At 39.6% G+C, this 14,845-nt stretch overlaps 2 protein-coding genes and 1 pseudogene across 6 annotated transcripts in view; 1 reads left to right on the forward strand and 2 right to left on the reverse strand.

Annotated features, from left to right (window-relative positions):
- Nucleotides 1-14,845, reverse strand: part of LGSN (lengsin, lens protein with glutamine synthetase domain) — a 297,657-nt gene that overhangs the window by 259,481 nt on the left and 23,331 nt on the right. The gene's annotated exons all lie outside the window — the stretch shown is intronic.
- The window catches only part of PTP4A1 (protein tyrosine phosphatase 4A1), a 67,149-nt gene that overhangs the window by 18,992 nt on the left and 33,312 nt on the right, over nucleotides 1-14,845 (forward strand). The window lies entirely within an intron of this gene.
- On the reverse strand, nucleotides 13,219-14,076 carry RPL7AP34 (ribosomal protein L7a pseudogene 34; annotated as a pseudogene).

The following is a 14,845-nucleotide window of genomic DNA, read 5'->3' on the forward strand; positions in this document are numbered from 1 at the left end:
CACTCCAGCCTAGGCAACAGAGCGAGACTCTGTCTTAAAAGAAAAAAAAAAGCAATAATATGCATTTCCCTCCTTAATTAAATGGTGAATAAACTTCATTTATTCTATAACTAAAATTAGTGGCATTTGCCAGTTGTACATATGTGTCATATGATTCTTTCAGGGATAATATGAGGTATCGAATGTTAATAAATGTAGAAATATTTATAAAAATCAATGTAATACTTAGAGCAACATCATAAACACATTTATAGTAGTTTTGATGAGTTAGTCACAAGGATTGTGCCTTTGTGATATCAAAGGATCACAAAGCTGACAGCCTTCCGGAAGATTATGGCTAGTTAAAAATCAATAGCTATATTTAGGCTGGCCACGATGGCTCATGTTAAGTCCAGCACTTTTTTATTTTTTGAGACAGAGTCTCGCTCTTGTCAACCAGGCTGCAATTCTCCTGCTTCAGCCTCCCGAGTATCTGGGTTTACAGGCGTGCGCCACCATGCACAGCTAATTTCTGTATTTTTTGTAGAGACAGTGTTTCACTGTGTTGGCCAGGGTGGCCTGGAACTCGTGACATCAGGTGATCCACCCACCTCGGCCTCCCAAAGTACTGGGTTTACAGGCTTGAGCCACCACTCCCGGTCTGTAATCCCAGCACTTTGGGAGGCCGAGGCCGGTGCATCACCTGAGGCCAACAGTTCCAGACCAGCCTGGCCAACAAGATGAAACCACGTCTCTACCAAAATACAAAAATTAGCTGGGCGTGGTGGCGGGTGCCTGCAGTCCCAGCTACTCAGAGGCTGAGGCAGGAGAATCGCTCGAACCTGGGAGGCGTAGGTTGCAGTGAGCTGAAATCCTGCCACTGCACTCCAGCCTGAGCAACAAGAGCTAGATTCTGTCTCAAAAAAAAAGGAAAAGGAAAAAGAAAAATCAATAGCTATATTTAATTTTGACACAGGTCATTTTATCCCTCTGCTTTACTGGTATTTGAAAACCAATCACAAAAGTTTAAGGATATCCCATTAATTTCCCAGACAGAGTGAATTATATAACAAGATTAGATTAGATTAAAACAGTGGTATTCAAAAACATCTGAACTCAGGAATTTTCGTGGGGAACAAATCACCACTTATATTTTATCCATATAATTTTTATCCTGTTTTAAAATTGATGTATGACTTTATAATATTTTTCTACTGTAACATTTGTGTCAGTCGCGATAACTGTGTTTTATCCACAAGGATAATAAATACTCTAAAGAATTTCTTTATAGTATTTCCTACTTAATAGAAAATAAGTATCACTACAAGAAAAAGCAGTCTTAATTTTTATTTATTAGAAAAGGTTTTATTATATTATTTATGTAAATAATGATAAATACAACATTTAAACTATAACATATTTGATAGTCTTAGCAGCATAGTCTTTTTGTAACATAAGGGTCCCCCTAAAGCATTCCAATTTAAAATTTTCCTCAAAGCAAAAAGCTCTATGACTTAATTCTGAGGATTGACACTTCAACTGGGTAACATGTCAAATGAATTAGAGAAAGTGGGAAAAGAGAGAATAAGAGTAGTGATGGGGAATTAAGGTTAAATAGTTTTAAAATTAAAATTAAATATTTGTTAAATTAAAATTAAATTAAATATTTTTAGAAACTAAAGTGAAAGGGGCTTCCATGGATTCATGATGATAAAGTGAATGAATTAGAATAATGTTCTTAACCATTCTTAAGTTTACAAGTATTTTTAAGAGGGTGGGGACAGTAGAAGTATTTCCTGGTCGAGGCAAATGTGGTTCCTGGACCAATAGCATCAACGTCCCCTGGGAATTGTTAGAATGCAAATCATCAGGCCCTATTCCAGACCTAGTGAACCAGAAACTGTGCAGTGGAGCCAGGAATCCTGATTTAACAAGCTCTACAGGTGATTCTAAAGCAGGATAAAGAGGAAAAACCATATTAGTAACACCTGGGAGATTTCAACACCAATGCCCAGGCCCAGGCTCAGATCAATTAAATCAGAATTTCTGGAAACAGGGTTTTGGCATCAATATGGTTCTCAACGCTCCCAGTAGAGAACCATTGCCTTAGAGCGTACCTTTTCACCCCAGAGAAAAAAGCCAACTGGCTGAGTGCCAAAACTAACCCTCACTCAATGAATTAGTTGAATTCTGCATTTGTTTGTTTTACTTCTTTTTACAATGAAAGTTTTTCCTAAAAGAAGTGTGAAACCACAAGCTGAGTACAATCAGTCAAGGTTGATTAATTCCACTTAAACCATTAACACCCTTGTCAGCAGATCAGAACCCTGAGGAAATAGGGACCCTACAGTTTAATTTGTGTTTACATGGCAAGGGGGAAGGAGGGTGACTATCCTAACCCGTAGGGCACAATGAGGACACCTCAACCGCCAAGAATCTGGCGAAAGGGCCACGGCCGTAGTGAGAGAGAAGTTGGGGAGAATCCTACCAATGGAATACAGGCAGGCCCAGACAGGAGTTTAAAAGAACAGAAAAGAGGATGTAGTGTCACAGACAAATTTCACTTGCATCAGTCAGAGTTTACCTGAGGCCAGTCTTGTATAGCCAAATGGAGATTAGTAAGAAAGAAAGATAAATTATCTCTGAAATTATTTTGCAAAATAGTGGGAAAATTTTTTAAATTTGCTGACATTAAATGTACATGCAAATTTTTAGCAAGGTTGTGCCTAATCACCACCATGAAAACTTCTTTGGAATATGAGCCTTGGTGTTTACCAGTAGGGAAATGACAGGTTGTTCAAAAGGAAATGTTTCCCAAGTTCTGGTTGGAAGCTGGCATCAGAGAAAGAGGGAAATCTAGAACTGTTCTTAGTTTCTCTAGCAACAAGATTTCAAAAAATTGTACTGAAAGTTCAGTGAACATTGTTACAGGGATTTCCATTCTTCATAAAAAGAATAAACTTGCAAAAACTGAGACTGAATGATTTAGCAATTGAATTATAAAAGATCAATGTTGGATATTCTGTGTTTTAAAACATAATAAAAATTAGATTAGTTTAATTTGAATTCGAGACACTAAGTGATAAAGTTACATGTTCAGTATTTGAAGCTGTAGCTTTGCATAAGCAATAAATAATTAATAGGATTTTGAAACTTGGTCCAAGCATATAAAATAGTGCAAATACCAAGAAATAGCATGCAAAAAGAAAAAAAGAAGTTGAGATTGCAAAAGAGATTTTCTTATTTTTTAAGATAGCATGAAAATGTGCTTTAGTTTTTGCCTACAATAGTTCAAAACATTTAGCTGTCCCAGAATCACATGGAAGGCTTGTTAAAACACAGACTGATGGGCCCCACCTCCAGAGTTCTGATTCCAGAGGTCTGAAGTCCAAGCCAATTTTGCATTTCTAACAAGTTCTTTGGTGATGCTGATGATACTAGGTGTGGGAACCGCATTTTGAGAAGTAATAATATTTATTTATTTATTTATTTTTATTTTTGAGATGGAGTCTCACTCTGTCACCCAGGCTGCAGTGCAGTGGTGCAATCTCAGCTCACTGTAACCTCCTCCTCTTTGGTTGAAGCAATTCTCCTGCCTCAGCTTCCCACATAGCTGGGATTACAGGTGTGCGCCACCATACCCGGCTAATTTGTGTTTTTTTAGTAGAGTAGAGGTTTCACCATGTTGGCCCATGCTGATCTTGAACTCCTGACCTAAGGTGGTCCACCCACCTTGGCTTCCCAAAGTACTGGGATTACAGTCATGAGCCACCGTGCCTGGCCTGTAAAGTACTGATTTAGAATAATGAATAAATTCTAACCTGTAGAATTTGTTTAAAATTACATAACATGTAATATTAACAAAGAGATAAAGAGTAATTCAATAAGTATACTTGATCTACCACCTAACCTGAAGGATTAAACATTACAATGCAGTTAAAATCCTCTGTATCTCCCTCCAGGATTCCATCCCACTTCCAACCTCAACCATAGGGGTACTCACTATCCTTCATGTTTAATCATTATTCTTTATGGTTTGCAAATCAACAAGGAACAGGAAATCTAAAAGAAAATAGGCAAAGGATGGCCAGGTGTGTTGGCTCACTCCTGTAATCCCAGCACTTTGGGAGGCTGAGGCAGGCAGATCACGAGGTCAGGAGTTCAAGACCATCCTGGCCAACATGGTGAAACCCCGTCTCTACTAAAATACAAAAAATATTAGCCAGGCTGTGCCTGTAGTCCCAGCTACTCAGGAGGCTGAGGCAGGGGAATTGCTTGAACCCGGGAGAGGGAGGTTGCAGTGAGCTGAGATCGTACCACTGCACTCTAGCCTGGCAACAGAGTGAGACTCTGTCTCAAAAAAAAAAAAATTGGCAAAGGATATGAATAGGCAATCTTCAGAAAAAAACTCAAAAGTTCAGCAAATGTGTGAAGATATGTTTAAACTTAATAATCAGAGGTATACACATTTTTAAAAAATAATACAGTGACATAACCCTTTAGATCCATTAATGGACAAACATTGGAAAGTTGGATAATGCCAAGTGTTGGAGGGTTTGGGGGTGGGAGTAATAGGAATGTTCATGACTGTTGGTGGACACTGATACAGCCATCCAGAAGACAATCTAGAGTTTCTTGGTCAAATCAATATAGCTATGCACCATGCCCCTGCACTTTAGCTCCTGGGTATCCATCCCTAAGACATTTTGAACATCCAAAAGGAGACAAGTTTGAGGATGATGATGGAATCTGGTGTGCATGGTTGGAGAGTGAATAAACAAAATGTGGTAGATGCACTTACTCCTTGAACAACCTACCACCCAGCCACTAGAAAAGGCAGGAGCCCAGATGTATATAGAATCATAGATAGATCTTAAAATCCAGTCCTTAAAATCCAGATGTGTATAGAATCATAGATAGATCTGAAAATCCAGGCACAATGGGTCACACCTGTAATCCCAGCACTTTGGGAGGCTGAGGCAGGCAGATTGCTTGAGGTCAGGAGTTTGAGACCAGCCTGATCAACATGGTGAAACCCCGTCTCTACTGAAAGTACAAAAATTAGCCGGGTGTGGTGGTGCATGCCTGTAATCCCAGCTACTCAAGAGGCTGAGGCATGAGAATCGCTTGAACCCAGGAGGCGGAGGTTGCAGTAAGCCAAGATTGCTCCACTCACTGCACTCCAGCCTGAGTGACAGATAGAGACCCTGTATCACAAATGAAAAAAGAAAAGAAAAAAGAAAAAAGTTAGATGAAAATGAGATTTCTATCACAATACCATTTATGTAAGTTAAAATGCATGCACACAAAACAGGATGCATATTAAACACATCAGAATGGTTATGAGGGTGGCGGGGAGACGTAGAAATAGCAAATAGGACCCCGTCTCTACTAGGACCAAAATGGTGAAACGCCATCTCTGCTGAAAATACAAAAAAAAAAAATAGCCGGTCTTGGTGGCGGTCACCTATAATCCCAACTACTCGGGAGGCTGAGGTAGGAGAATCACTAGAACCCCGGGGGCGGAGGTTGCAGTGAGCCAAGATCACGCCAGTGCACTCCAGCCTGGGTGACAGAGCAAGACTCTGTCAAAAAAAAGGAAGGAGGGAATGAAGAAAGGAAGGAAGGAAGGAAGGAAGGAAGGAAGGGAGGGAAAGAAAGAAATCCTCACAGAATGAATAGTGTGCCCTAAACTAAGGAGTATAATTAACTCAACCTGAGCTCTATATAGTTTAAAAGAAATCTGCATCTCATCCTAGAAGAGAGAAAACAATCAAAGCAGGTTTTCTTCTTCCATTACTAGTATCAATATCTCCCATTGCCTCCCTCTTAGCCTCCCTCTTAGCCAGGTATCTTAGCTAGATTCCCATTCTCTTTGGATAATTTTGCTAAGGAAAGGTTTGGGAGGTCAAGGCGGGTGGATCATGAGGTCAGGAGTTCAAGAGCAGCCTGGCCAACATAGTGAAACCCCTCTCTACTAAAAAAACAAAAAAATAGCCAGGCATAGTGGCAGGTGCCTATAATTCCAGCTACTCAGGAGGCTGAGACAGGAAAATCGCCTGAACCCCGGAGGCAGAGGTTGCAGTGAGCCAAGATCTCGCCATTGCACTCCAGCCTGGGCGACCTTGTCTCAAGAAAAACAATTTAAGTCTGAAAGGAATCTAGCACTAATAAAGGAATATCAGATTTTAGGACTGATATTTCCAACCTCTTTGCATTCATCTATCACCCCTTGATTGATGAACTTACCATATATTTCACCAAGCAATTAGAAGCAATCAGAAGGGCAAGCCCCTACTGTCTCCATCCAACTCCATTAAAAAAGATGCATTTATTAATATATTTACCATCTCTTCCTACTACTGTGAAATGTCACTACTGCCTTCTGAAAGCCAACCTCCTTACACCCTTAATGGCTTCACCCCTGTTTCTCTTTCACATCATCAATATTTCCCTCTGTACTATGTCATTTCCATCCAGCTTACAACCATTTCCTGGTGTCTCCCATCTTTTTCTGCCATTTTAAAATATACTGGTAAATACACATAACTTTTTTACATAGAATTTCCTCCATGTTTTAAAAACTCTCATTTGGTGGATAAAGAAACTGTGGTGTGTGTGTGTGTGTGTGTGTGTGTGTGTGTGTGTGTGTATACATACACAATGGAATACTACTCAGCCATAAAAAGGAATAAATTAATGGCATTCACAGCAACCTGGATGACATTGGAGAATACTAGTCTAAGTGAAGTAACTCAGGAATGGGAAACCAAACATCGTATGTTCTCACTCATAAGTGGGAGCTAAGCTATGAGGATGCAAAGGCATAGGAATGACACAATGGACTTTGGGGGACTCAGGGGGAAAGGGTGGGAAGAGGGTGAGGGATGAAAGACTACAAATTGAGTGCAGTGTATACTGCTCGGGTGATGGGTGCACCAAAATCTCACAAATCACCACTAAGGAAATTACTCATGTAACCAAACACCACCTGTTCCCCAATAACCTATGGAAATAAAAAAAAAAACTCTCCTTTGAACTCAAAAACTACTAAATCTGACTTAATAATCTACTGCCTTTCCAAGTCACAGCAAAACTTTTCAAGAGTCCAACCTCTCCATATTCCTTCTTCCCATGTTGCCTCTCTCCAATCTCTCTTCAGTTCAGTTTTTGCCCCAAGACTCAATGATCTAACCTTATTCCATTTAATTTCTCCTTGGCGCTTCACATAGTTGACCAGTTTTCTCCTTGACTCAGTTTTCACTGACCTGACACTCGCTGGTTTGTCTTCCTTCACCGACTGCTTTTTTGAAATCTCCTTTGCCAACCTCTCCGCTGACCTCTACCTATTAAATCCACACTTCTTCACAAATCCTACATCCTTTCCATTGCTCTATATGCAAAATACATCCCATATTATCACCACCTCCACCCCTACCTGATTCATCCAAGCCATGATCATGTCTCCTAAACTACTGCTCTAGCCTCTTATGTCGTGTTCCTAACCCTTGCAAACCATTCTCCATAAAACAGCCAGAAGCATCCTTTTATTTTTATCTTCTTGAACTTGCAAACTACAAATTTAGAATAGTATAATGAGTTCCACTACCCATCACAACATTAATTAACATATGGCCAATCTTTTTTCAACTATATCCCCCACTGCACCTTCTCCTGGCTGGATTATTTTAAAACAAAGCTGTGACATCATTTCATTCACAAATTAGAGTGCTCCTTTGAAGCATAAGCCAGTCATGTGCTAGGGTGTCTCATGTCTCAGTTTGCCAGACTTGTCCCTGTTTTAAAACTGAAAGTTCCTTATCCCAGGAAACCCCTCAGTCCCAGGCATTCTGTGATCATTCAGACGTCAACTAAAATGAACCCTCCTCAGGGAAGATCTGAAAACTTATTTTTCTTTCTTTCAATTATATCATCCTGCAGGTTTCCTTCTTGGCACCTTTCAAAAGTTGCAATAGTCATATTGAAATATTTGGGTCTTGTTTACTGTCTAATCCTCCCACTAAAGTGTAAATTATAAGCTCTTTATGAAAAGGGATATTATCTAACTTATTCACCATTTTGTCTTGTACTGAGAACAGTATCTGACAGGAAGAATAATAATTGTTCATTGAATAAATGCATCTATGTATTCATAAGGCAGAGTGTTGATGATTGAATGTGAGGAAGGATATATCACATGAACATGGAAAGAAGGTTGTGACCTACACACTGTGCCCATTCATCCAATTGGTTCCCCAGTCAAGAGCCCAATATTTGAGAAATAAACCCTAATCTTTACTGAAAGACCTGGGGCAAATCATGTAATGCCTCCTAAGTCAAGTGAAACTTATAATGACATTCTCCTATCTGCCTCTAGCTTAATTTCTAGCAACTTTCTACCCAGCTCACAGTGTAATAAGAGTTTCTTTTAGATCCCCAAACAAAGTAGATTTCATTTTACTCTTCGTGTTTATTTGTACACAAAAGCATTGATAGTCCCTTGTTATTCTGTTTTTAAGAGTTGTTTATAAAGTTTTTTTACAGATATAAAGAAATGGAGTAGTCCAGAGTTTAATGAACTTTCAGATTTCAACCATTCATTTCCTTCACCACATTGTAATTCTCCGCCCCCAACCCCGTATTTCATGTAGAGGAGTTTCCTTTTCTGCCTGTGAGCTGGTATGCCCTAATTCTACTTACAATTGTGGGGAGTAAAGACTACCAGACACTGTGCCTCAGACAGTTGTCCGGAGGGCTTTACCACAAATCATCTTAGTTTTCTAAACATTCTTTGATGTAATTTGAGATATGAAGAAAAGATGCAAGAAAAATATAAAGAATTCCTGCCTATTTTCACTCAGATTCCCTGAATTTTAACATCTTGCCAACATGTTTCATCATCCTCTCTCTACCTATGTATATACATTATTTCTTTCTCTATACTGTTTGCAAGGAAGTTGCAGACATTATATCTTTAACACTTTAGTGTCCTAAAACCCCAGGGTCCAAAAACAGGAATATATATTCTCTTACATAACTGCAGCACAATTATCAAAATCAGGCAATTAGCATCAATACAATAGTCTTAGCTCATCTACACTAGCTAGAATTTATCTAGTTGTCGAAGTAACATCCTTTATAGTAAAATAAAAACCTGGGTCACAGACTGGCTAGAGTGGTCATGTCATGTTTTCTTTGATCTTAATAGTGGATCAGTTATTATTTATCTTCTATATGACCTTGACGTTTCTGATTAGTACAAGCCAATTATACCAAGAATGTTTCTCAGTTTGGGTTTTTCTGATGTTTCCTCATGATTAGATTCAGGATACACGTTTGGCAGGAATATCTCTGAAGTGATGTTATTTTCCTCTCCACGTATCCTATCAGGAAATGCTTGATGTTAATTTCTCCCATTACTGAAGATATTAACTTTGGTCACTTGGTCATGGTGATGGCTACCAGATTTCTAAAATAACTACTTTTCCCTTTACAATTAATGTCTCCGAAGAGATACTTTAAAGTTATATAAATACCATATTGCATATCAAACTTTCATGCACTAGTTTTATCATCCACTGATGATTCGATCCCAAATTATTACCATGATAATTTCCAAATGGTGATTTCTAATTCTGCCATTTCTTCAACATGTACCAATTGGCATTCTACTGTAAGGAGGTTTCCCTTCTTGCTCAAATACTTATTTAAATATGTACTCATTGATTCTCCTTTTATTCAGTGAGTTATAATCTGTTTCTATCTTTTCTTATTTTGATACTCAAATCGTCCCAGATTTGGGGCAACTGGAAGTCTCTTCAAGCAGATTTTGGTGTCCTTTTCATGTCTTTTCCTTCTGCCTTTGAGTACTTCCTTAATCTCTGGCTCAAGAAATCTCTGGGCGTGGAAATTTCTTAGGCTGGGTGTGGTGGCTCATGCCTGTAATCCCAGCACTTTGGGAGGCGGAGGCAGATGGATCACCTGAGGTCAGGAGCTTGAGACCAGGCTGGCCAACAGGGTGAAAGCTTGTCTCTACTAAAAATACAAAAAATTAGCTGGGCGTGGTGGCACATGCCTGTAATCCCAGCTACTTGGGAGGCTGAGGCAGGAGAATTGCTTGAACCTGGGAGGCAGAGGTTGCAGTGAGCCGAGATCATGCCATTGCACTCCAGCCTGGGCAACAGAGCAAGACTCTGTCTCAAAAAAAAAAAGGAAGAAAGAAAGAAATTTCCAATCTTACCTTGTACTTTTCCTGCCCCAGCCCTGGAACAAGTCATTTCTCAATAAGGCCTGTTTCCTTTTAGAGGAAAACAGTATTTAGGAACCAAAATCTGAATATTATTAGACGTGCTCAAAATTCAATCCAATACTCTGAGATTCATTCTAGCTTTCCCATGTTCCATATTTGTGTCTACTTGTCTCTAGCAATGAGAAACCTGGTTCTAAGAAGAAAGAAAAAAAAGAAAAGAAAGAAAAATAAAAATAAACCTGGTTCTGTTATTCAAAATATATTTACTCATTTGCTTAAAACAAGAATATCCAGAAAGTAGTTTCAGAGTTTTAAAAATATTAAAAATAGAACTATTATATGATCCAGCAATCCCACTTCAGGGTATATATCCAAATATATGAAATCAGTATGTTGAAGAGACATCTACACTCCCTTGATCCATGCAGCATCATTCACAATAGCCAACAAATAAAGAAAATGTAGATTTTAAAATGTGGATAAAGAAAACCATATACATAACATGTATATACAGTATATACACACACAGGAATACAATTTAGCCTTAAAAAAGAAGGAAATACTGTCCTTTGCTATGACATGAATGCACCTGGAGGACATTTTGCTAAGTGAAATAAAACAGGCACAGAAAGACACATACTCTATGATCTCACATGTGAAATCTAACAAAGTCAAAATCATAGAAGCAGAGAGTAGAATGGTGGTTGCCAGGGGCTGAGGCTTGGGGAAAAATCAGGAGATGTTGTTTAAAGAGTACAACATTTGGCCGGGTGCGGTGGCTCACGCATGTAATCCCAGCACTTTGGGTAGCCAAGGCAGGTGGATCACTTGAGGCAAGGAGTTCGAGACCAGCCTGACCAATATGGTGAAACCCTCTCTCTACTAAATACATAAAAATTAGCCGAGCATGGTGGTGCATGCCTGTAATCCCAGCTACTTGGGAGGCTGAGGCAGAATAAACGCTCAAACCAGGGAGGCAGAGGTTGCAGTGAGCTGAGATCGTGCCATTGTACTCCAGCCTGGCCAATGAGAGCAAAACTCCATCTCAAAAAAAAAAAATAGAGTACAAGCTTTCAGTTAGGATGACTAAGTTCTGGAGATCTATTACCCAGCATAGTGACTATAGTTAATAATAATGTGTTACACACCTGAAAATTTTGAATAGATTAGATCTTAAATTTTCTCATCTCAAAAAAATATGTAAAGTGATAGATATGTTAAATAGCTTTATGTATTTCGCAATGTGTAGTGTATATATATAAACATCACACAGTACACCATAAATATATTTAATTTTTGTCAATTACTCTTTAAACCTTAATAAAGTTGATAAAACATTCTTTTTTAAAAAGTTTTGGATTATAGTAGTGATAGATGGTTTTCACTTATTTCCCATCAAAAGTTTATTTGAGCATTCTCCTTTCACAGGCACCATTTTGGCTCTGCCCTACTCAGATATAATAAGATTAATCACTCTCAAGAGAATGCCTTTCAGGAGTTCAGAAGTTTACAGGCTAGTAGGGGGGAATTTTTTTTTTTTTTTTTTTTGAGATGGAGTCTTGTTGTGTCACTGAGACTGGAGTGCAATGGTATGATCTCAGCACACTGCAACCTGCGCCTCCCAGGTTCAAGTGATTCTCCTGTCTCAGCCTCCCGAGTAGCTGGGACTACAGGCATGTGCCACCATGCCTAGCTAATTTTTGTATTTTTAGTAGAGATAGGATTTCACCATGTTGGCCAGGCTGGTCTTGAACTCCTGACCTCAAGTGATTAATCTGCCTCGGCCTCCCAAAGTGCTGGGATTACAGGCGTCTGCCACCTCGCCCGGCCAGGGGGGAATTTTTTTTTTTTTTTTTTTTTTTTTAAGATGGAGTCTTGCTCTGTCGCCCAGGCTGGAGTGCAGTGGTACGATCTTGGCTCACTGCGAGCTCCGCCTCCCGGGTTCATTCCATTCTCCTGCCTCAGCCTCCCGAGTAGCTGGGACTACAGGTGCCCACCACCACGCCTGGCTAATTTTTTGTATTTTTTTTTTCAGTAGAGACGGGGTTTCACCATGTTAGCCAGGATGGTCTCGATCTCCTGACCTCATGATCCACCCCCCTCGGCCTCCCAAAGTGCTGGGATTACAGGCGTGAGCCACTGCGCCCGGCCCAGGGGGGGATTTGTTAATGCTACACAGACCCCAGATTTAGTTCTCCACCTTTGTTCTTGCACTTTCCAACACTTATTTATTTAAAAACCACAAATTTGATTTAAGGCTTTCTTGCTTAAAACCCTTAAAGTTCCCCATTATCTCACCATTTCATATTCCCTAGTATGGAATATAAATTCTTTCACAATCAGGAACTTGTTTAATTCCCTCTAGGGATTCCCTGTTTCTTTTCTGCCCACATCCCCCATATTCCAAAACCCACTACTCATCCACAACTCAGCTCCGAGGTCATAACCTCTTCATGAAAGCCTTTTTTGAATCCTAGGTCTCAGTTAGATGACCCTCTCTGATTTCCCTTAGCACTTTTTATTTTCCCTACTATAACACTTTCTGCATTACTGTTATTTATCTGTTATAATCTGAAGCCAGGCTTTGAATCCAGATTCAAATTATTTGTTGTGTGACATAACTTTTCTGTACCTCAGTTTCCTCATCTGCAATGTAAAGAAAATCACAATATCTACCTCATGGGTTTGTTGTGAGGATAAAATGAATTTATACGTAGAACAGGCTTAGAACGGCACTAGGCAAGCACTTTAAACTGTTTGCTACTCACAGCAGTATTTATATGTCCTTATGCCACATTCCTACATAGGTGCTCTCAGTTTTCTTGTTTGTCTCCATCGTAGCAGCCTGTGAGCTATGTAGAGCCTGTGACCATGTCCTGTTTTTCCTTCTATTCCTCTCTCCAAGCACAGCTCAGGGTACCAGGGTACATGGTAGAAATTCAGAAAAGGTTTATTGAGTTAATGTAAACACAACCCTGATTTAATTTTTCAAGGAAAATTTGTTCTATTTTAATTATTTTTATGTACAGAAAACTCAACAGTGTACATTTAACCCAGCTTAGTTGCAAGTTCTTGAGCCTTTGCCTTTTCGAGCTTGCCAATGCAAGCCACAGACTTGGGACCCAGGACATTGCCTCCCCAGTGACGGCGGATCTCATTGTATCTGTCATTGTAGTCAGTCCTGATAGCTCCCACTAGCTTAGCCAAAGCGCCTTTGTCTTCTGAGTTAACCTGTATGAAGGCGACAGTGGTGCAGGTCTTCCTGTGGACTAGACGTCCCAGTCTTGCCTCCCCCTTGATAATGCAGTAAGGGACCCGCATTTTATGACACAGGGCAGGCAAGAAGACAACCAGCTCGATGGGATCCACGTCGTGTGCAATCACCACCGGCTGAGCTTTCTTATTCTCTAGCAAGGTGGTGATGGTGTTAACTCCTGCTCGAAGGACAGGTGGTCTCTTAGTGGGGATGCCCCCTTTGCCAGCAGCTTTCTTTTTGGCCAGGGCCAACAGCCTCTGTTTCTTCTCTTGCTTAGTCTCTGATCTGTACTTGTGGGCCAGCTGAAGTAGCAGAGCAGCTGTTTGGTGGTCCAGGGCCTGGGTGAACTGGTTAATCTCAGGAGGCACTTTCAGCCACTTACAGAGGATGGCTCTCTGCCGCTGCAACCTGATATAGTGGGGGCCATTTCACAAAGCTGGTTAGGTCTCTTTTGGGCTGAATGTCCTGTCCAATGTCAAAATTCTTAGGCCGTTTCTCAAACAGGGGATTCACCACTTTCTTAACCTCCTGCTTCTTCACGACAGCAGGGCCGGAGCCACCTTCTTTCCCTTGGCCTTCTTTCCTTTCGGCAGGAGGAGAGAGCCTGATTTAATTATTTTTAAAGGTGATAAATGTTGACAAGATTTGAAGTTTTTTTTTTTAAAGAAAACCTTTATGTGATATATATACACAATGGAATACTAATTATCCATACAAAAATGGAATCCTGTCATTGGCAGTAACACGGATAGAACTGGAGGACATTATGTTAAGTGAAAGAAGGCAGGAACCTAAAGTTAAACACAGATTGTTCTCACTCATATGTGGAAGCTAAAAAAAAAAGTTGATCTTATAGAAGTAAAAAGTAGAACAGGGTATACTAGAGGCTTGGAAGGGTAGAGGGAAGAGGAAAATAGGGAGAGATTTGTTAAAGAATACAAAATTGCAACTACATAGGAATAAATTATAGTGTTCTGTAGCATTGTAAGATGCCTATAGTTAACAATAATATTCAGTTTCAAATTGCTAGAAGGAGGATATTGAATGTTCACAACATAAAGAAGTGATAAATGTTTGAGATGAGGAACACACTAATTACTCTGATCTAATTAATCACTATATGTTATACGTGTCATATCACTATGTACTCCATAATATGTGCAATTATTATGTGTCAACTTGAAACGTTTAAACAGATAAATTTTAAAAGAAAAACTTTAAAACTGAGAAATGTGAGCCAAACTAGATAATCCTCAGTGATTGGTTTTTTAATCTACATAATAGATTCAAAACAAAATGCTTCATGAGCCCCTCCCTGGATTGCAATTAATGGCAGTGTGAAAAAAAGATTATGTGATTAA

The sequence above is a fragment of the Homo sapiens genome, chromosome 6, assembly GCF_000001405.40.
Source record: "Homo sapiens chromosome 6, GRCh38.p14 Primary Assembly".
NCBI lineage: Eukaryota > Metazoa > Chordata > Mammalia > Primates > Hominidae > Homo > Homo sapiens.